Raw genomic sequence first — 21,579 nt, 5'->3', positions numbered from 1 at the left:
GGAGACTGAGGCTGGAGAATCACTTGAACCTGGGAGGCAGAGGTTGCAGTGAGCTGAGATTGCGCCATTGCACTCCAGCCTGGGCAACAAGAGCGAAACTCTGTCTCAAAAAAAAAAAAAAAAGAAAAAAAAATTGCTGGCTCTTGAGCAAATCACTTAAGCTCTTTGTACCTTGGTTTCTTCATCTGCTACTTGCAGATAATAACAGTACCTATCTCAAAGGGTGGTTAAGAGGATTGAATTGTAAAACATTTGTGCCTGGCACATAGTAGGCACTTAATCAATGTCAGCATTCACTATTAGTAAGGACTTAGTAAATCCACATTGGTTGAATGATCGAATGAACATTGTTCAGCCACATCTTGCCTTAGTGGCTGCTGGGGACAAGTTTCACTTCTAGAGGCGAAGCTTTTTCATTGGAAACTGGGAATGCATCCAAGGAGGAAATAAACACATAGGGCAGGCAGATTGGAGGGGTGTGGCTGAGAGAAAGGACAAAAGGATGCCTCCAGGTCAGGCAGATGGCATGAACAAGGACAGGGAGCACACAGTCAAAAAACAAGCTCTAGCACGGAGAAGCGGCGCCACATACGCAGACAATCAGGCCCGAATCTCCCCGGCCAGCACATCTCACACGCCGTCCCATTGAAGCCGGTGTTGCATTTACACTCTCCGGTGGCCGAGTACTGATCAAGGCAGACACCCCGGTTATTACACGGGGCATCTGGTCCTCCAGGGCAGGCTGGAAGAGATGAAACAGCAGTGACTCAACAGTCTCCCAAAGCCAGAGCAGCTCAGCACCTTTGTAAATGTGCTGTGGCATCTGACTTCTGTTAGCCCAGAGGGACCATCGCCTTCAGTGTCAGTGGATATTTAAGGCACGTCACTGGCCTATGGGACATGAACTTTATGGTATCTGATATGATTCTGTCTTGGCAGGGTGATACACTGAACTGTGCACTGTATTTGGGGGTTTGTGCACTGGATTTGAGGATATCTGGGTTGAGTAATGAACTTGCTCTGAGCTTTTGTTTTCTTAGATCTAAATGATGATGATAATAATGATGATACAGTGTCTGCTTGACCTATACCCATGTTGTTATTGTGAAGATCAAATGAGGCATTATAACTGAGAACATTTTGAAAATATAAAGCACTGAACAAATATTAGAATGATACTGATTTTCATGAATGGTCCACACTTTAGTGATGGAGGGTGGAGCTGGGTGGTCATGGGGGCTCTCAACCCAGAGTATTCTCAGTGAGATTATGATGAATGGAGTATGCATGCTAGTAAAAATCACAGCTGCTGAAGACAGACCAGTGGGACCTTGGGTTTACTTCTTGTCCTCTCTGTGCCTCTGTTTTCTCATTTACAAAATGGGGTCAACAGGCCAGGCACGGCGGCTCACGCCTGTAATCCTAGCACTTTGGGAGGCCAAGATGGATGGACTGCTTGAGCTCAGGAGTTTGAGACCAGCCTGGGCAACATGGCGAAAACCCAGCCTATGAAAAATACAAAAAAATTAGCTGAGTCTTGTGGCATGTGCCTGTAGTCCCAGCTACTTGAGAGGCTGAGGTGAGAAGATCACTTGAGCCCAGAGGGTTGAGACTGTAGTGAGCTGTGGTCCTGCCACTGTACTCCAGCCTGGGTAACAGAGTGAGACCCTCTCTCAAAAAAAGTCAGTGGGGAGGGGAAGACAACAATGGAACCTACTCCCTAGGGGTTGTTGCCCAGATTAAATGTTTTGATATGTATGGGAAAAAGCACTCAATAAAACTCAATAAATGTGCCTACTTAGAACAACATGTAGCAGATAGTGCTTTTGAGGCATTTGTTACGTGCACCTGTTGATGTATTGTTGGCTAGAAGTTAACACAGGGGTTTCAGAATGGGCCCAAATGTGCTTTGGCAAGGAGCCCTTTCCTGATGAGGTAACAGAGGGAGCCAATGCTATACATCCTCTACCAGGGACAGGGGTGCGCTCAGGAAATTATGGCCCATACATACTGTGTCAGTACATCACCTGCCAAGGGAGAGTCACATCAAAGTCTTTAAACATGCTTATCAATATCATGGAAATCATGTTGCACAGCATCAAAAATGAAATACGGTGTATTTAGCACCATAATAAATGTCTATGCTGTAATGTCAAGGGAAAAAGCAGACACACAATTACAATATATGCACAGCAGGATCTCAACTCGATAAAAAAAATATGCCAAAGTAGAAGGAATGATACACAACTCTTCAGAGTTCTGGGGTCTGGGAATCATTATTAGCAGTGTTTCCCCCATCCCCCTATAATTTTGGTACATTCAAAGACTGGACAACGAGCAGGAGCATATTACCACTTTTAGAGTTGCGAGGGGGGAAGAGGCACCCTCACCCTGACAGTCTCGCCCGAAGTAGCCCTTGCAGCACCTGGGGATCTGTATCACCAGGCTGCACCGCTCCCGGCAGCCTTCCAGGTTCCTCTTGAAGGGCAGGTTGTAGAGACACTTCTGCTTCACACCCTAAGGGAAGAGAGTGGACCATCCCTTCACTTACCACTGCAGGGACTAGGGCTCTGGGGCTCTAGTCTGTGCCCTCATGGAGGTCTTAGGTACTGCCCAAATAAAAAATGGGACTTCCAGTGTGAGCCAACTTTTTTTTTCCAAGGTGATATTTTTCCTATGGGAGTCAACAGAAACACGCAGATAGGGGAGGGAGTAGATCTAGGGTCCATGGGAAGATTTCTCCCCAGTCTCAAGGGGAAGAACTTTCAGACCCTTAGAGTGCTCTGCAAGTGGCATGGTTGCCTGGGGAGGGAGTGGGAAGGAGGTAGCTTGCTGTCATGGAAGGGGTGTGGGGCAAGGCTCCCAAATTGTAGGCAGGGAGGGTATGAGTTAGATTTTGTTTTGTAGAGATATTTTTGTTATAGGTTTTACTAGTAGACTAGAAAGAGCTTGACTTTGGAATAAGTAATACAAAACAGCATTTAATGAGCACTTACTATGTGCCAGGCACTTCAGTGTACCCACATTTTTAAAATTTACTTTTCCTAATAGCTGCACAGAGAGTCCATTATTAGCTCCATTTTACAGAGGCAAACCTGATAGGTCATAAGATTTGTCAAAGATTATGGAATTTGACCCCATACCTGTGGACTCCAAATTTCATTGACTTAAACATTACTCTCCATTGCTCTCTGGACTTTCATCCTAGCATTGCTCCTTACTAGCTGTGTAGCCTTGGGCTGATTGCTTACCCTCTCTGAGACCCATTTTTCTCATAAGTAAAGTGTAGGTAATAATAGCTTCCTATGAGTATTATAAAGAGGGATAGAGTAATGAGTATATAAAGGCTCAGCACAGAGCCTGGGACATGGAGAGCAGCCAACAAAATGCAGCTATTTTTATAATCATAATTATCTTCTAAGTCCTTCTAGGTCTACCATCCCATGACTTTTCTAGACAGGTCCTAGAACATGGGTTGACAGGTTGCCTGGGCTGAGAATATCTATCTTACCCCATTGGCTTTGTTGTTGAAAGAATGACATAAATTACATTTATGCAACATACGTGCACGGGCACACACACACACACACACACACACACACACACACACACACACACAGGTCTGATAATGAAACAGACCTATGGCTCTCCAAACATTATCACTGCAGTCTTAATTACCTTTGGTTTACTCCACCTTGGGCAGCTGGGAGTATTGACACAGCTCCCACACTCCCCCTAGTATGCAAGAAAAGAAACACTTGAAAACCAAGAATATCAGAAAACACAAGGAAATGTTCCTGATTAATACCTGGATGGATTAAGGGCTTAACTAATCTTAAGACTCTGGCTATGATCAAGAATATGAAAACAGGCCAGGCATGGTGGCTGACACCTGTAATCCTAGCACTTTGGGAGGCCAAGGCAGAAAGATTGCTTGAGGCGAGAAGTTTGAGACCAGCCTAGGCAACACAGCAAGACTCCAACTGTAAAAAAAAAAAAAAATTAGCCAGGCATGGTGGCACATGAACCTGTAGTCCCAGCGACTTTGGAGGCTGAGTTGAGGGGATCACTTGAGCCCAGGAGTTCAAGGCTGCAGTGAGCTGTGATTGCACCACTGAACCCCAGCCTGGATGACAGAGCAAGGCCCTATCTCAAGACGACAACAACAACAACAACAAAGAATATCAACACACACACACTAACTTTGCCACAGATAATTCTGAAGATCTGTCTTGGGCATTAGCTCCGTGGTTTTGTTCTCTGAAGGGAAAATCTGTTATACAGAGCTGGACCAGGGCAGTGTCTTACAGGCATATGCTATTAGCAGTGGGACATATGGGTGCAAGTGTTAGTTCCATTTTAAGTTAAATGGTATACTTTTGGCCAATCACAAATACTATTTGAGCCTTAGTTTTATAATAAATAGGGATAATAATTCTTGCTATTTGATCTTCAGAAGATTGATGAGGAAAAATGATTAAATGAAAAATATGTGTGGAATATAATTTGGAAATTAAGAAGACCCCTGTTGTAGAAAGGACAACTGGTTTCATCTCCTACTTTGGCTGACTGGGATCCAAAAAATTTGGGATAGTTATTGAAATTCCTAGGGGATGCCAGGTACTGATATCAACTGGTGACAAACTTTGCCATGTAAAGTCACTTTACCTCTTTGAGACTCAGTTTCTAAATCTACACAATAGGGCAGATGATAACTGTTCCTATTATTGGATTATTGTAGGGGTAAGCTAAGCATTGAACACAATGGCTGGCTTCAGGGGAGTACTCAGTAAAGGTGCTGGATGGATGAATGAGTGAATGTAAAAATGCCTCACACAGTGCAGGGCCTGGGATAGAAGTTCAATCAATATTGTCAAATGAATGAATCAATGGGTAAGTGAATAGAGGTGTGAGTGGCATATCATATTAGACTGACTATGTGAAATTGCCCTTTTCATAGGCTCCAGACTGTCAAATATGGCAATTTCATATGGTGTAATCTGTCAGACATTCAACAAATATTTGTTGAATGCATGAGTGAGTGACTGAATAGAGGGATGTGTTTGAAAACGAATGGCAGTTGGCATATGGTTGGTATCCAAAAACTGTTTTCTCAATGATAAGGGAGTGAATGAGTGGGTGAGTAGATGGGTGGATAAACAAGAATATTCCAGGCTGTGTGGGGCTAAGTAGATGCCTGTTGCTTCTGAGTCTAAAGAACTACATCATTTGGCCCTCAGGTCTTCTGGGTCCTAGTCTTGCTGAGGACAGGCCCTTAATGGTTTCACAACAGGGTCCACACTGGATCATGAGGGCCATTCTTTGGCTTAAGGTTCTCTTACTACACTGTTGTTTTTAGGACTGACCGAGGCATCGAAAGTAGTAAAGGTGTCACAGCGGCCCCCCAGGGTGGGATCAATCAGCAGACAGTCAATGCCGTAGGCCACACCCAGGTCAAACAAGAGCTCCCGCTGCACAATTCTGCAGGTTTGGCCATTCAGAAAGAGGTCACCCTAAGAAAGAAAAAAAAAAAAAAAAAAGAGAAAGAGAGAGAGAGAGAGAGAGAGAGAGAAACAGTCAATCTCTTTCACACATCTCTTCTTTCCCAGCCATGTAACATGGCCAGTAACTGCAAGACTCAGGAAGAACTTAATAAAACCCCATGTATTCATATATTTATCAAATACCCAGCTTGTATTATGTGCCAGATACTGTTCTAAGTCCTTTACCTGTGCTAATTCTTTTAATTCTTACAAAAATCCAAGGTGTCTCTATGGATGTAGCTATTATTATTAGTACCCATTTACAGACGAGGGAACTAAGGCAGTGAGAGGTTAAATGACTTGCCCAGTGAATGGTGGTGTGGGCATTTGCACCCAGGCAGTCAGCCTCAAAGCCTGCCCCCTTGAACCCTCTGCTTCACTTCCTCTACCAAAGGAGAAACGTCAGCAGTGGGTGATAGGTTGGAGCAAGGATGACCTTGCTGTGGTTAGGGATGAACTTCGCTGATGTGCCCTCTTTGTGTGTAGTAACTGAGTCTCCTTATTTAGTGCCAGCACCTAGCAAAGTGCCCGGTTTGGCTTTCTTTCCAGGGTGTACAAGTGACAGGCTTTAACTTTGTAATGATAATTTCTTTTTTCACATGTACCAGGCATAATCAACTGGGCTTTGGAGATATTATTTCATTTAATGCTGGCAATAATCTCAGGGCTTCCTTTCCTGAGGTCACCCAGCTAGTAAGTTGATGGATACATTATTCTTCCAATATACAAAATGCTTTTAGAAAGCTTTTGAGAGGAAAACAAGATAACTCCCAGCATCTATGGATGGGATGGAGATAGTGTGACTCAGTGGAAGGAACACCAGAAAACTGTGGTTAAAGCCTTGCGTGTTCACTCATGTACTATGTGACTATGGGCAAGTCACTGAACCTCTCTGAGGTTCATTGTTTTTTTCACCAGGTAAATAGAGTAAAGGATTTCTAATATAGGGTTGTTATACAGATCAGACTAAATAATACATTGCAAAGTGCTCTGAAAGCTATATCAACACACAGAACAAGCAGAGGGCATTCTTACTATCCTTCTCTGATAGTTGTCTATTTTGGTCTAGGGAGACAGGACAATCCCAAGAGTGCACACTGGGATAACGTACCAGAAGCTGGAATGAAAAGATGTGAATACTCTTCAAAGTCAGTTATAAATTCAATGCAATTCTAATTCAAATACCAAAGGGATACTGGTCATAAGATGTATGCAGAATGTTGTATGGAACTTGTTGGAATCCTCCTTGAAGGGAATTAACTCAATTGGGAGATGCATCCCTTTTGCCCTTCCTCCTTCCCACTGCCTGGAAAGTAGACATGGTGCCTGGAGCTCCAGCAACCATGCTGGACCTTAGAGGCTTGAACCGTGTGCTGCAGAGCAGAAAGAGAAGGCACCTCTCCACTGAGCCATCATACTAAAGATTTCTTTTATGAAAGAGAATAAATCCTTATATATTTAAGTCACAGGATTTTGGCTTTTCCATGATATGCAGTTGAAATAATCCCATTAGACCCATTCATCATATGGAATTACAGGAAGACAGAATTGTTCAGGAACTAGCCAGGGAAGGTAAAAATTGCAAACCTCTCAGTTGGCTGATCTAGGTAAGTATAGCCCAGAGCTGGCCCTGACTGACAAGAGAGGGTTGGAGGTGAGGTCACAGTGGTGGGGCTGGGAAGGAAGAGAAAGGAATGACTGTATACTTTCCTGTTTCAGGAAAGTATCTCACATTGGAAAATGCTCTACACAAAAAATGAAATCAACTGGAAGCTGCTCTCCACAGTGTAAGAGGCTTCCTGCCACCTGCTAGGAGGGCTTGGGTTGGCCAGGATTTATCAGGTTTTTCATATCCAATGACGCAGTCTCAGGAAAAATACCTCTGAAGGTAGTGAGAAAAAAAATGAGCCCGCTATGAATGGAGGGGAAAAAATGAACATCTCCTTGAAGGGGCAGTTGTTGGGGAATAGCTTGCTGTGAATGTGTTAACCCCTCCCTGCCCACCCTTCATGATGATACTCACGATGTCCCTGCCAGCTCCACATTTCACACTCAGCTCTGAACCTTGCAGGGTCTTCCAGGCAGTGGATGTGGGAAGATCCACAGCTAAAACCTGTAGGAGTGATGGCACCACGTGACTGCCCCAAATTTGGGCCGAAGAAGGGACGGCCCGAAGGAGCTTTACCAAAAAACCAAATTCAGATGCAAATTTTTCCACGAGTTATAATAACTTTAGCTTTACAAATGACCGTAGGTATAACCAATGGGAAGAATAATCGGGGCTCTCTGGGAGGTTGGAAATTCCTTCTTGAGGGAAAGAGTTGACCAGGTGGACTGGTTTCAATCACCCTTCCATCTCCCATCTATGCTTGGGAGTCTCTGAAGATGCAGTCTTAGCGTATGAAGCCAATGAAAGAATGAGTGGGTGAGGCTGGGAAATGACATAGGATGCAGTTATGGGTGGCACTGTGCCCCTCAAAGAGTTATGTTGAAGTCCTGACCCCCAGTTCCTCAGAATATGATCTTATTTGGAAATGAGGTCATTGCTGATGTAACTAGTTAGGATGAGGTAATCCTGGAGTAGAGTGGACTCTTAATCTAGTTTGAATGGTGTTCTTATAAGAAAGAAGAGGCAAATGCTACGTGAAGGCACAGAAACACACAGGGAGAGACAGTCCTGTGATGGCAGAGACAGATTGGAGGGATACACTACAAATCCAGGAGCACCAAGGATTTCCAGAAGCCACCAGAAGCGGAGAGAGAAGCATGGAGCAAATTCTCCCTCAGAAACTCCAGAAGGAACAACCTTGCCAGCTCCTTCATCTCCGACATCTCACCTCCAGAACTGTTTACTACAAAAAAAAACCACTTCTGTGGCTTAAGCTGCCCAGCTTGTGGTAATTTGTGATGGCAGCCCTGGGAAACTAATCTAGATGCTGTGGATGAACTAAAGTTGGGGCATTTGGCATTCTTGAACTGAGCAGACTTGGTCCTGGAGAGAAACATGAGTCCTGGATGAGGACTCAGGATGGCTGCCATGTTCCTATATGATTGTGCTTGCTCCTATATGATCATGTTTGCTCCCATATGATCATGCTTGTTCCTATGAGACTGTGCATGCTCCTATATGATCATGCTTGCTCCTGTATGATCGTGCTTGCTCCTATAAGACTGCATGCTCCCATGTGATCATGCTTGCTCCCATATGATTGTGCTTGCTCCTATATGATCGCTCTTGTTCCTATGAGACTGTGCATGCTCCCATGTGATCATGCTTGCTCCCATATGATCGCGCTTGTTCCTATATGATCGTGCTTGCTCCTATATGATCTTGCTTGCTCCTATGTGATCATGCTTGCTCCTTTATGATGTTTGCTCCTATGTGATCGTGCTTGCTCCTATATGATCGTGCTTGCTCCTATATGATCGTGCTTGCTCCTATGAGACTGTGCATGCTCCCATATGATCATGCTTACTCCTATATGATCGTGCTTGCTCCTATAAGACTGCATGCTCCCATGTGATCATGCTTGCTCCCATATGATCGTGCTTGCTCCCATATGATCGCGCTTGTTCCTATATGATCATGCTTGCTCCTATATGGTCGTGCTTGCTCCTATATGACTGTGCTGCTCCCCTATGATCGTGCTTGCTCCTATGTGATCATGCTTGCTCCTTTATGATGTTTGCTCCTATGTGATTGTGCTTGCTCCTATATGATCGTGCTTGCTCCTATATGATCATGCTGCTCTCATATGATCATGCTTGCTGCTGTGATCGTGCTTGCTCCTATATGATGATGCTTGCTCCTATATGATCATATATGTTCCTATATGATCATGTATGTTCCTATATGATCATGCTTATTCCTATATGATTGTGCTTGCTCCTATATCATGCTTATTCCTATATCACATATGTTCCTATGTGATCATGCATGTTCCTATATGATCATGCTAGTTTCTATATGATCGTGCTTCTCTGATACAGTTAATCAGTTCAGGGGCCACAATTGATTGAAGCTGGATCAATCAGTCATTTGCCTAGAAATTTTGGAATTGGATGAGAAAGAGTCCATCTGGAAAAACTTGAGAACTGTTTTCAGCAGCCATTTTGCCAGGAGAACTAGGAAGGAGGAAACGCTGATCTGCAGTAGAGAGAGGAATGATGCTCTTGGGTATTGATTAAAGTAAAAAAAAAATTGGCAGGTCCAAGGAACAGAACCAAATGTGGTATACTGCAGGAGCCAATCAACCACGGCCAGTCAGAGGAGGACACAGTGGGGCAGGGGATGCTGTGGCTTCCTGCATACAGTGGTGACAGGGACACACTGACAGTTCCTAGGCCACAATGCCTTGGTGCTGAATTTTATCACCACCCTGGGACATTCTTGCACTTATGTCTGCATGTAAACTAAATACCTTGGCATCTCGTATCACATGAAACTTCAAATACTCCTTCAGCTTGTCCTTGTTGTCTTGGTTGAACAGGAAGTCCTGTTGTTCAGCAGGTAGGGCATGGAGGGCTTGGTCGGTGGGCCAGAAGAGAGTGACTGGGGTGTGGATGGGATCGGTGATGACACTCAGCAAACCTGAGTCCTGAAACACAGGGATTCAGCCCCTTGCTGGCTTGAGCAAGGCCCAGACATGTGGGCAGGGGTTCTGTCTCTGAGGATTCTCCTCCATGCTCAAGCCCGTGGCTTACTGGGACTCTGGATGGTTCAAGGGTGATGCAGCTAGAGAAACTAGAAGCCCATCACACCCCAACCATTCTGACCTACAATTTTTTTTCTTATTTTTGAGACAGGGTCTCACTCTGTTGCCCCGGCTGGAGTGCAGTAGCACAGTCACAGCTCAATGCAGCTTCAACCTCGTGGGTTCAAGTGATCCTCCCACCTCAACCTCCTGAGTAGCTGGGACTACTGGCATGCACCACCACACTCTGCACATTTTGGTATTTTTGTAGAGATGGGGTTTCGCCATGTTGCCCAGGCTGGTCTCAAACTCCTGGGCTCAAGCAATCCTCCTGCCTTGGCCTCCCAAAGTACTAGGATTACAGGCATGAGCCAACTGTGCCCATCCTGACCTGTATTTTCTTGGACAGCAAATCAGAAAGTCAAATTCTGGAGTCCCCAGTGACTGCTCAGGGTTGAGTATCAGGGAAGAGGGAGCCTCAGAAAGATGCTTGGCCTGCTCCTCCCTATTCTCCTCTGCAATCTTTTGTTCATACTGGAAGTTTCTACTCAATTCATGGGAACAATCTCTGGAGTCAGTAAGATATGTCTTTTTTGTTTTTGAGATGGAGTCTCACTCTGTCACCCCGGCTGGAGTGCAGTGGTGCGATCTCAGCTTACTGCAACCTCTGCTTCCTGGGTTCAAGTGATTCTCCTGCCTCACCCTCCTAAGTAGCTGGAACTACAGGTGAATGCCATCATGCCCAGCTAATTTTTGTATTTTTAGTAGAGACAGAGTTTCACCATGTTAGCCAGGCTGGTATCAAACTCCTGACCTCAAGTGATCCACCTGCTTTGGCCTCCCAAAGTGCTGAAATTACAGGTGTGAGCCACTGTGCCTGCCAGAAAGATACGGTTTTAATTTCTACCTGCCTCACAGGCATAGAGTTCCCAACTCTCCCATGCAAATTCCCCATCTTTATAATGGAGTTGATAATTCCAGATGTGAAGCACCTAGTACACTACTGCCACATTCCAATTTCTTTCCCTCTCCCCAGCCTCAAATCCTCAATTTCTAACTCAGCCAATGTACATTATATAGCTCAACAAGCCATATAACATTCTAAGAAGGGAGTGGCAGAGAATGACTTTGCTCTCCAGAAAACTGAGACTTCCCCATGCAGATCCCACAACAGCTGGCCAATGTCAAAACAAAACAGAAACAACAACAAAACAAACAAAACAAAACTTCTTTAGGCAGGTTATCCTCTGAGTCAACTTCCCCTAAATTTTTACCTGTATTAAGTTGCTAAATTTGATGTAGCCATTGTTTGTTGCCAAAGTCGTAAGATTTTGCTGCAAAGATAATAAGAATGGGCATGAAACTTTTCCTTATACAGTTTAAGAGGAATTTAACAAGAGCTCAAGTGAAAAAAAGTAAAGGTAACATAACCTGACGGATACATAGATGGGCTCATCAGCACCTGCTCCAACTCTCTTCTGACCACGCTTTTCTGCATTCTAGAGACTAGTAGGCTAAGCGCTACTTTTTCCCAGACTCCCTTGCAGCTAGAACCCCAATGTGATATATAAGGTCCTCCAAGCAGAAGCACTTGTGCAAAGCTTCTTGGTGGAAAGAAATAATATGAGGTGGCAGCAGCTGCTAGAAGGGAGATCAACCCCTCTGGCAAGCACAATGGGGACATCTATAGCCCAGTGTCTAGTGTCCAAGGTGGTGAGGCTGGAGACAGGTGGCAGTCACAGAGCTGTGACAGCCAGGACAGCCAGAACAGCCTGGTGTTGGTGGTAAGGTTATCAGGTTAGGTGTTCACCCTTCGTGTGTGTGTTTAATTAAAAAAAACTTTTTTAGACAGGATCTCACTCTGGTTGCCCAGACTAGAGTGCAGTAGCATGATCTCAGGTCACTGCCCTCAGCTCACTGCAAGCATCTGATCCTGGGATGAGGTGATTCTCCCACCTCAGCCTCCCAAGTAGCTGGGATTATAGGCATGCACCATCACACCTGGCTAGTTTTTTGTATTTTTAGTAGAAACAGGGTTTCACTATGTTGCCCAGGCTGGTCTTGAACTCCTGGACTCAAGCAATCTGTTCATCTTGGCCTCCCGGATTGCTGGGATTACAGGTTTGAGCCACTGCACCTAGCCAGGTGTCTACCCTTTGTAGACCTCCTTGGGCTGCTCTGCTCCCAGCTGTGTAGCATCCGAATTAGGCTCTACCCTTCCAGAGATTTGATGATGTATCTACTATCTCAAGAAACTTTTTTTTGTCTAAGTGTAGTGGATTCTGTGTTCTGCTGTGGAAGACCTTGACCTATATTAATAAATAAAAATAAAAGTTAAAATTACATTTTCTGTCAATTTAGAAGGAATTTTACTCCAGAATTAATTTTATCTATCTTCTCCATTTTCTAAACCTATGTAAGACTACCTGTCCTTGTGGATGCTATAGAAAAACATATAAAACCCACTTATCAATTTAAGATAGTCTTTTACTTATTTATTTCTTACTAAGAATAATGTTTACTAGGCTTTTAATAATAGCTTGAGATTGAAGCAGAAAAAGAAAATGTTTCAAAATGATGACTTCGAATCAGAATAGAGATGATAATGTATTGAGTCACTCCAGGCTGAAAACATAACAGAGAGTTTACCTACCAGAATTCTTCCAGAGTTGTCTTTGGGAGTGATAAGCAAATTTTTGGGAGATAGCAATTTGTCTATGATATGAACAATCCCATTAGTACTGATGATATCACTGGATATGATCTTAGCCTTATTGTTTATATACACCGTGCTCTGAAATCAACCAAAAACAAAAAAGAAATGAGTGCAAAGTGAAATAGACACAAAATTGCTTCTCACAGAATGCTTTACCAATGTGTCAAATTATCAGGAGCAAAAACTGAATATCCAAGTTAATACTTGAGTGTATTTTTATTATGATTATAAAGTGAAAACAGAGATAAAAATGTAACTTTCACCTGGAGAAGTTAATTATAACATAGAATCATCTAAAACAGTAATTTCAATATGATTCTCCAATGTGAAATAAGCAAGCAGCTCAAAATTGGCTTCTCTTTTATATTTGTTCTATACCTCCTCCCCTGGCTTTTTTCCTTCTGCAAGGAATTCTACAGTCACCATTTTTTTCTCTGTAGTAGGGAGGGACTGGACCAGTCTGGTCAAGTGGCTTGGATCAAAAGCTTTCAAACCTTCCCAGCTTCTGACTAATGCTACCAAAAGCAGTTCTATTTACTACTTGGAGAGGCCTGCCCTTGAGTTTTAATCCTGGCTTTAATATTTGCTCTTTGTGTGACCTTGGACAAGTTACTTAACCTTTCTGAGCTCAGTTTTCTTATTCGGAAATTAAGGATTAACACTGTCTATATCAAGGGAGTATTTTGCAGATTAAATGAGTTAGTACACATCAAATACTAAGTGCCTGCATACAGAAATCACTTAACGTATGTTATTATTATTTCTTATATTACTTTAAGGAAAAAAAGAGAAAGAGGACCTAAGGATAAGGCACTTACTTTGTTTAAAAAAAAAGCAAACAACTTTTATGTTCAGGGGAACATATGCAGGTTTGCTACACAGGTAAACTTGTGTCATGGGGGTTTGTTGTAGAGATTATTTCATCACCCAGGTATTAAGCCTAGTACCTATTAGTTATTTTTCATGATCCTCTCCCTCCTCCCACTCTCCACCCTCCACTAGGCCCCAGTGTGTATTGTTCCCCTCTATGTGTCCGTGAATTCTCATTATTTAGCTCCCACTTGTAAGTGAGGACATGCAGCATTGGGTTTTCTGTTCCTGCATTAGTTTGCTGAGGATGATGGCCTCCAGCTCCATCCAGGTTCCTGCAAAGGACATGATCTAGGGGAGAGAGGACCTAAGGATAACTGGCATCTACCTGAGAGACGGAGATGACTATTGGCTCTCCTTGGAGGGAAGTAGCATTTGAGATCAATTTCAGGTTTTCCAGAAGCAGCTGGTGGCAGGCGACCACATGGTACCGAAGAACCTGGGGCATTAAACCGTATTTGTCCCAGTCTTTAACCTGTAACAGAAGATCAGAGGGTTTCAGCCAGAGGCAGGAGTCTTTTGCTGCAATGTGCCATTTGGCTCTCCTGTCCTCCATTCTCTCTTCCACACCTCTCGGCCCACCCAGACTCTGGGAAGTAAGCTTTGTGGTCAGGATTATAGAGTGGAGGCTGTTCAGACAAAAGGGAGGAAGTGACTCTAGCTCCTTTCTTGCCTCCATTGTGGAATATCAGTGTGGAAGGAACATGGGGTTCCTCTGGCCTGGATTTCACAATACATGTTGCAAAGATCCCAAGTTCTGTGAGATGATCCTCAAAAAAGAATTTTCTTGTGAAACATGCTGGGAAACACTGCATAGTATATAGCCCTCTTGGAGAGGTATCAGTGCCAGATTTAAACCTTTAGTAGTGGGAAGATCATGACGTATCTCCATTTGGAATTCAAAATACAAACAAGGCTGGGTGCAGTGGCTCATGCCTGTAATCCCAGCACTCTGGGAGGCCGAGGCGGGTGGATCACTTGAGGCCAGGAGTTCGAGACCAGCCTGGCCCACATGGTAAAACACCATCTCTACTAAAAATACTACTCCGGAGGCTGAGGCATGAGAATCACTTGAACCCAGGAGGTAGAGGCTGCAGTGAGCCGAGATCATGGCACTGCACTCCAGCCTGGGTGACAGAGCAAGACCCTGTCTCAAAAACAAACAATCAAACAATATTAACATAAAGTAAATAATCAAAAGCCCACAAAATTCTCATTGTTTCATAACTCCTTTAATGGCTTTTTATTTTGAATTATAAAGTGTCAAGTTCTTTCAAAAACTATTTTTGTGCCTCTGCTTTGCTGGTGTCCAAAATACAGGCATGGAGAGGCTGGGTGTACAGTGGTTAAGTACACGGGCCCAGGTTTGGGTCTTTGCTCCACCCCCTGCTAGTCATGTGATCTTGGGAAAGCTACTTCCCTCAGTATTCACAGCTGTAAAATGAGGATCACAGCAGAACTCACAGGGTTGTTGTGAGGACCAAATGAGTCATTCTAAGCCGGGTACTCAGAACAGTGTTGGACACTCACAGTAAATGTTACCCATCATTATTATGAATGGGCAATCCAGTATGAAGAGCCCCCGTGAATATTAGAACAGTAAAGGCTCTGATAAATCCTGCAAGAAAAGAATCTATTTAAATCTCTTTAACCCAGCATCTCTCCCTCCACTCCCCTGTTTTTTGTCTATAGGAGGTCTAAATCACTTGAGAATTGTTAATCTTCTCCAACCTCATACTTTGTTCAGGAATGTCCTTTAGAAAGTCTCTGGCCAGTGGTTACCCCAAATCCACCTGAATGTTTCCCCTGACAGGGGTCCCTGTGCCAAGAGGCAGCCCCTTCTATTGCTGGTGAGTTCCACCTGATCTCAGAGCTCCTGCTTAGAAACATCTCCAGTCTTGGTTCCAGGGCGAGGCCCAAGGACTATGTTCCAGCCGCAGACCTCCCCCTTCTGCCCACAGTCTCATGCTCACCCGAGCTTCCTCATCAAAGGCTGCAGATAAAGGTGCAAAAACAGTGAAGGGGCCTGGGCCGACCAGATCTTTCACGAAATGCTCCTGTGGGAAGAAAGGTGAGGCTCACACATCACTCACTTAACATCAATACATGCCGGGGCTCAAACTAATACCAGAGATGATGGCACCTGGGTGAAGCAAAGACTGGATGAGGAGACCTCTGTTTCAGTCTTGGATTCAAATGAAACCCAGATTCTCCGTCGTTGAAATTGTGTGTGGTTTTCTTCTCATTATAAAATTAACACGTTTATTGTATTAAAGATTTTGAAAATACAGCACAAAGAAAAAAATAATAGCTGCCTCCCTAGTCCCACCACCTAGAAGCAGCTCTTACTATTTTCAGGTATTTTTTTCCAATGTCTCTTGCACATATCAGTATTTTATATCATTAGGATAATAATACAAACATAAAACGTGAGTTGATATACTTAACTGTTATAATTGTCTTCTTGCAATTCTAAGATCATATGGTTACTATGAGCATATTTTCTTCTAGTTTTTAATGATTTTATTAAAATCTTATTTCTTACATTTTTATGATTTTATTTTAGTTTTTTATATTTTATTCTTATATCTGAATCTCATTCAGATGTATGATGTGCAGAAAGATCAAACTTAATTTTTACCCCAAGTGTTAACTAGCTGTCCCAGTCACACCTTTTTCTCTACCAGTGTGATGGGAGTCTTTTCATGTACTACATTCTTATGTAGAAAATTCTAGAAATCCAGGGTCCCAGACTTTCTTCTACCCTCACCAACTCTAGAGGCCACCAGTTTATCCTGTATTTGGCTTGAGGCTGAACTCTTTATTTATTTTTGAGACAGTGTCTCACTCTGTCACCTAGGCTGGAGTGCAGTGGCATGATCTCAGCTCACTGCAACCTCTGCCTCACAGGTTCAAGCAATTCTCACGCCTCAGTTTCCAAGTAGCTGGGACTACAGGCCTGCGCCACCATGCCCAGCTAATCTTTTTTGTATTTTTAAAAGAGACGGGGTTTTGCCATGTTCCCCAGACTGGTCTCGAACTCCTGAGCTCAGGCAATCTGCCCGCCTTGGCCTCCCAAAGTGTTGGAATTACAGGTGTGAGCCACTGCACCTGGCCTAGGCTGAACTCTTATGGCTAGACAGACATGTATATTTCCTACCTGCAACTGGAAGAAATACTGGGAAGTTTTCGGGTTCTTGGGAAGCTCCTGCAAACAAAGAGTAGTTTCACTTAATGCCTGTGAAATATATATTAGAACAATACAGGGTTGTCATGGGATGATTTCTCTGCCATCCCTTCAGCTGGAAATCTGTAACACCGGGCCTTTTTGGAGCTTCATCTGTAGGCTGACAATTAACGTTCAGAATGACTATGTGGACATAGTGTGAATTCTATAACCTTTCTGGAATCGCCATCTGATTTATGAAAGAAAGGTTCAGCCATTTCCAGAAGTATCTGAACTTTAAGAGCATTTTCTGACTTTCAAATATTTAAAAAAAATCAGTTATAGGTTTATGGCAGATTTGGTTACTCTAGTAACAATATTTGATCAGCCGGAACATTTTTGTCCCTCTTTAAATAACTGAACATTTACTTTATAATAGAAAGCTGCAAATATCACCTTGCCTCAACCACTATGCTCAGTACACACACACATGCACACACACGTGCATACACACATGCACATATGCACCTGCATGCACACACAAGCACACACACGTACACACATGCACACACACGTGTACACACATTAACACGTGCACGCACACATGCACACGCACACATGCACACACTGCAATCCACGCCATGGTAATGTGGTTGAGCTATTGAGCACTCTGTGTCCTTTGCACATATTACCTTATTTTAACAACCTGATGCAGTTTGTACCACCATTATTTTCTTTTACAGATTGGAAAATTGATATACAGAGAGGTGACATAATATGCTCAAAGTCACATTACCAACCAGGAGAACTGAATTCAAACCCAAGTGTTTCTGACTCCAGAGCTGTCGGTCCACCTTAATCCCTACATTACACTCTTCCTCAGGTCAAATGAATTCCCAGAGGAAGACAAAATTTCTTTTCATTGCTGATTTATGTAAAATTGCCTTTCATATTTTTATAGCGCTTTACATTTCACCAAGCTCTTAAATACTCCTTAGCTACCTGGATTCTTGGCATTTTTAGGGAAGTAGAGTTTACTTGATGGAAACATGTCTCGCGTTACCTGATAAATGCTGCCGCGGCAGGTAAATCCATCTCCAATGTAGTTTGGCTTGCAAGTACAAGTCCTTTCTACTTGCCCAGTGTGGTTGCAGATGGCAAATTCACTACAGCCGCCATTTTTCTGGTAAAATTGCCAAGGGGCAAGGGATGGGGATTAGACCAGTTAGTTTGCCAGCTCTACCGATATTTACAAAGCAATTCTGCGTTTGAATTCATTTTTTGTCTCACTCTCTTTGATTCATTTGTATTGTTTATCCTTTTCCTGAGCTTGCCTTCCAATTCCCTATGCTCATAGGGGCATCTTATTCACCTGGCCTTGTATCCTAAGATGACAGGTCCCTTTGAGCAGATCTCCAGCCCTGTACAGGTAAGCCCAGAGTTGCCAAATTGGAAATTTCTCAGCATCCAGGTATTAACTAGGAAGACCCCACCTGTTTGATACTTCCCAGCTTTAAGCTAAACTCTGATCATAGGAAAAGGTAACCATTATCAGAGAGAAGGCAGGTGGTACAAAATAGAACACATTGTCCCAGCCCTCAAAGAGCTTATAAGTTGTGGAAGATGGGCAGAGACCTAAAATACAAACAAAGCAAAGCACGGTTCAAAGCTAACATCCATGGGAACGCTCACTGCAGGGACACTCACCCCATGTTCCTCTACACACGCATCACCTGACCCCATAGGCCCCTTCCTCACAAACCCTTCCCCGTGCTTTCTCAAAGTCATTGCCATTAGCAACTTTCTGACATTCTCACCTTAGTAAGCTCCCTTCACCTCTTCCTGCAGAGGTCTTTGTCTCCTGCAAACATTGCCCTTCCTATGCCCCTCAAGTGAAGCTGTTTTCCTCCACTACCTCCACACTGGTGAGGGATTGAAGTGGCAATGTCCTGGCTGTGCTGGGAGAGTGTCTTTCTTACTGTACATTGTCACTTCCAAACACCCTCATCCTTTAAACACATAGTATCCATAATCCTTTACCAATTTTTACTCTTTGGTCCTAATGGTGTTGCCTGGATCACCGCCTTTCCCTTCATTCTTGATGTTGCCGTCCGTGGCAGTGTCAATACCCTTGTCAACGGCCTCTACCACCCCTGTCCCCATCCCCTGGCTTTGCAGTCAACATTAAAGTGCACTGACTGCTCCTGAGAGCTCCATTTCAAGCATCCCTCTCTCTCTGGCCACCAACTTTTATCATTTCAACTTATCTCTTCTAATACTGCAGTCTCCAACCTCCTTTGGTCCACAGGAACCTCCCCTCCTTTGAGCTTACTTCTTTCTCCCCAGCATTCCTGCCCACCCACTCAGTCCCCTCGAACCCCAGCCAGCTGGCAAGGTGGAACACTGTGACCCTCCCTGGCTCTTCTCTCCCTCCATCACTATGGCTTGGCAAATCCCTAGCCCTCCTGGGCCCCACTCTAACTTCTCTGGGTCTGCCGGGCTGGCGGTGCATTGCCTGAGAAAGTCACGATACATGCTATCTGGACTCCCTTCAAAGGTATGTACACAGATGCTTGCACTTTTGCAGTACATTTAATTTCCCTCTCTCTAGAGATGATGTTACGGTTTGCCTGTGTTCCCACCCAAATCTCATTTTGAATTATAACTCCCACAATTCTCATGTGTCATGGAGGAACCTGGTAGGAAGTGATTGAATTGTGGGGCAGGTCTTTCCTGTGCTCTTCTTGTAATAGTGAATGAATCTCAGGAGATCTGATGGTTTTAAAAATGGGAGTTTCCCTGCACAAGCTCCCTTCTCTTATCTGCCACCATGTGAGACATGCTTGTCACCTTCCACCATGATTATGAGACCTCCCCAGCCATGGGGAACTGTAAGCCCAATAAACCTTTCTTTTGTAAGTTGCCCAGTCTGGAGTATGTCTTTATCAGCAGCGTGAAAATTGACTAATACAGATGACATTCCACTCCTCACCTTTCTCAACTCTCAATTACTGTCCTCTCATCTTAGTTGATGAGCCCCACTTGTGCCTCATGGAGAAAAGAGACACAGGTAACAAGAACCACCTCATCTCCCCATCCTGAGCTTCACCACTTGTTTGGGTCTGAACTCACGGACTGTGCTTTCCTTATTTAACAAGTGTACTAACAACTAACTAACTAATGGACTGACTCATTAATGGACTCACTAGTTCATCACTGACTAATATACTGACCGACACTACGTCTGCTTCTATCTGAGGGTGATGTCTCCACCTGGGGTCTGGGTCCCACTCCCTCTCACCCCCTCCTGTAACAACAACCTGCTCTCCTTCAGGAGTGGTTTCCTCCCCTCTATCAGATCATACTCCCCAGCACAAAAACATGCCTTCATATTACTCATCTTGAAAAAAGCCAAACTCCTTTTTTTTTCCTTTAAGAGAACGTACTAGGTATAGATGAACAAAGACTGACCATGAGTTGACTCTTTCACCTGAGTGTCAGGTACAGATGGGTTCATGTATTAGTTGCTCTAGTTTCATGTAGGTTTAAAATTTTCCAGGGTAAAGTGTTAGGAACATTACTTACTTTAGTCCACATCCTTCTCCATTAACTACCCATTTATTTGCCCAGGAAGATCCTTGCAAATGTCTATGTTTCTACTTTCCTTACTTCCAATTTTCTTCTCAACTTACTTCCAGGCTCTTGGTGCCACTTTTACACAAGCCTCCACCTTGATCTTGTCTTCAAGAATTGAGACCTTGAGAAGGCAGTGGTCAGTTCTCTTCTCTCAACATAGGTGACATCTCAACATCCTTTGCCTGTACAATCACTCCTCTTGAAACATTTTCTTCTCTTGGTCTCTGTTGACACTATACTTGATAAGTGGTTTTCCTTCCACATTGTGGGCTTTTTTACTGAGGCTTCTCCGTAAGTACTTCTTCCTCTGCTCAATGGCTTAATATCCAGGGCCCCTCCACCTGCCCCGTCTTTGCCTCTACCTTTCATCTTGTGCTTCAGTCAGTCCCCTGTGTTTAAATACCATCTGTGTGCCAATGACCGCTATGTTTGTACCTCTGTCATGATCTCTCCTTCAGGCTTACATTTCACTGGAAATCTTCACTTGAATGGCTACCAAGCAACTCAAACTCAACAAAAAGACAGACCTGTTGATATTTCACTCAACATTTCCTCCTAAGCCATCCTTATCTTCATGAGTAGAACCAACATGTCTCAACAAAAAATCTAGATAGTGTCCTTGATTCCTTTTCCTTGTATTTCCCATATCCAGTCTATCAGCAGGTCTTATTGGTTATCTCCAAAATACATCCCCTGTCCAGTGATTTATCTCCCTCTCTCTCCAAGCTGGTCTCAAACTCCTGAGCTCAAGTGAACTTCCTGCCTCAGTGCCCCAAAGTGCTGGGATTATAGGCATGAGCCACTATGTCCACCTGGCCCAAGCGACTTCTTATTACACCCACTGCTATAGCTCTAGTCATACCACCCTGGTCTTTCTTGGTCAGCATCATTAGTCTTTTACATGGTCTTCTTGCTTCTGCTTTAGAACCCCTATCCTGCATAGTCATCACAGCA

The 21,579-nt window shown here is 43.8% G+C and overlaps 1 protein-coding gene across 8 annotated transcripts in view; it reads right to left on the bottom strand.

The window, feature by feature from the left end:
- The window catches only part of STAB2 (stabilin 2), a 179,447-nt gene that overhangs the window by 23,573 nt on the left and 134,295 nt on the right, over window positions 1-21,579 (bottom strand). For all 8 annotated transcript variants that reach the window (XR_007063104.1, NM_017564.10, XM_011538537.3 and 5 more), the window contains 12 exons: window positions 18,053-18,172; window positions 16,984-17,031; window positions 15,797-15,880; window positions 14,152-14,298; window positions 12,891-13,031; window positions 11,512-11,571; window positions 9,965-10,141; window positions 7,567-7,656; window positions 5,367-5,513; window positions 3,679-3,735; window positions 2,391-2,517; window positions 593-742 (listed from right to left, as the gene is read on the bottom strand). Coding sequence is in view for 7 of the 8 variants with exons in the window: in NM_017564.10 (NP_060034.9) it covers window positions 593-742; window positions 2,391-2,517; window positions 3,679-3,735; window positions 5,367-5,513; window positions 7,567-7,656; window positions 9,965-10,141; window positions 11,512-11,571; window positions 12,891-13,031; window positions 14,152-14,298; window positions 15,797-15,880; window positions 16,984-17,031; window positions 18,053-18,172 (1,348 nt within the window). In the remaining variant the exon portion in view is untranslated. The remainder of the gene's footprint in view (window positions 1-592; window positions 743-2,390; window positions 2,518-3,678; window positions 3,736-5,366; window positions 5,514-7,566; window positions 7,657-9,964; window positions 10,142-11,511; window positions 11,572-12,890; window positions 13,032-14,151; window positions 14,299-15,796; window positions 15,881-16,983; window positions 17,032-18,052; window positions 18,173-21,579) is intronic.

This window comes from Homo sapiens, chromosome 12 (genome assembly GCF_000001405.40).
Source record: "Homo sapiens chromosome 12, GRCh38.p14 Primary Assembly".
NCBI lineage: Eukaryota > Metazoa > Chordata > Mammalia > Primates > Hominidae > Homo > Homo sapiens.
This window is presented reverse-complemented; position numbering and strand designations above follow the sequence as displayed.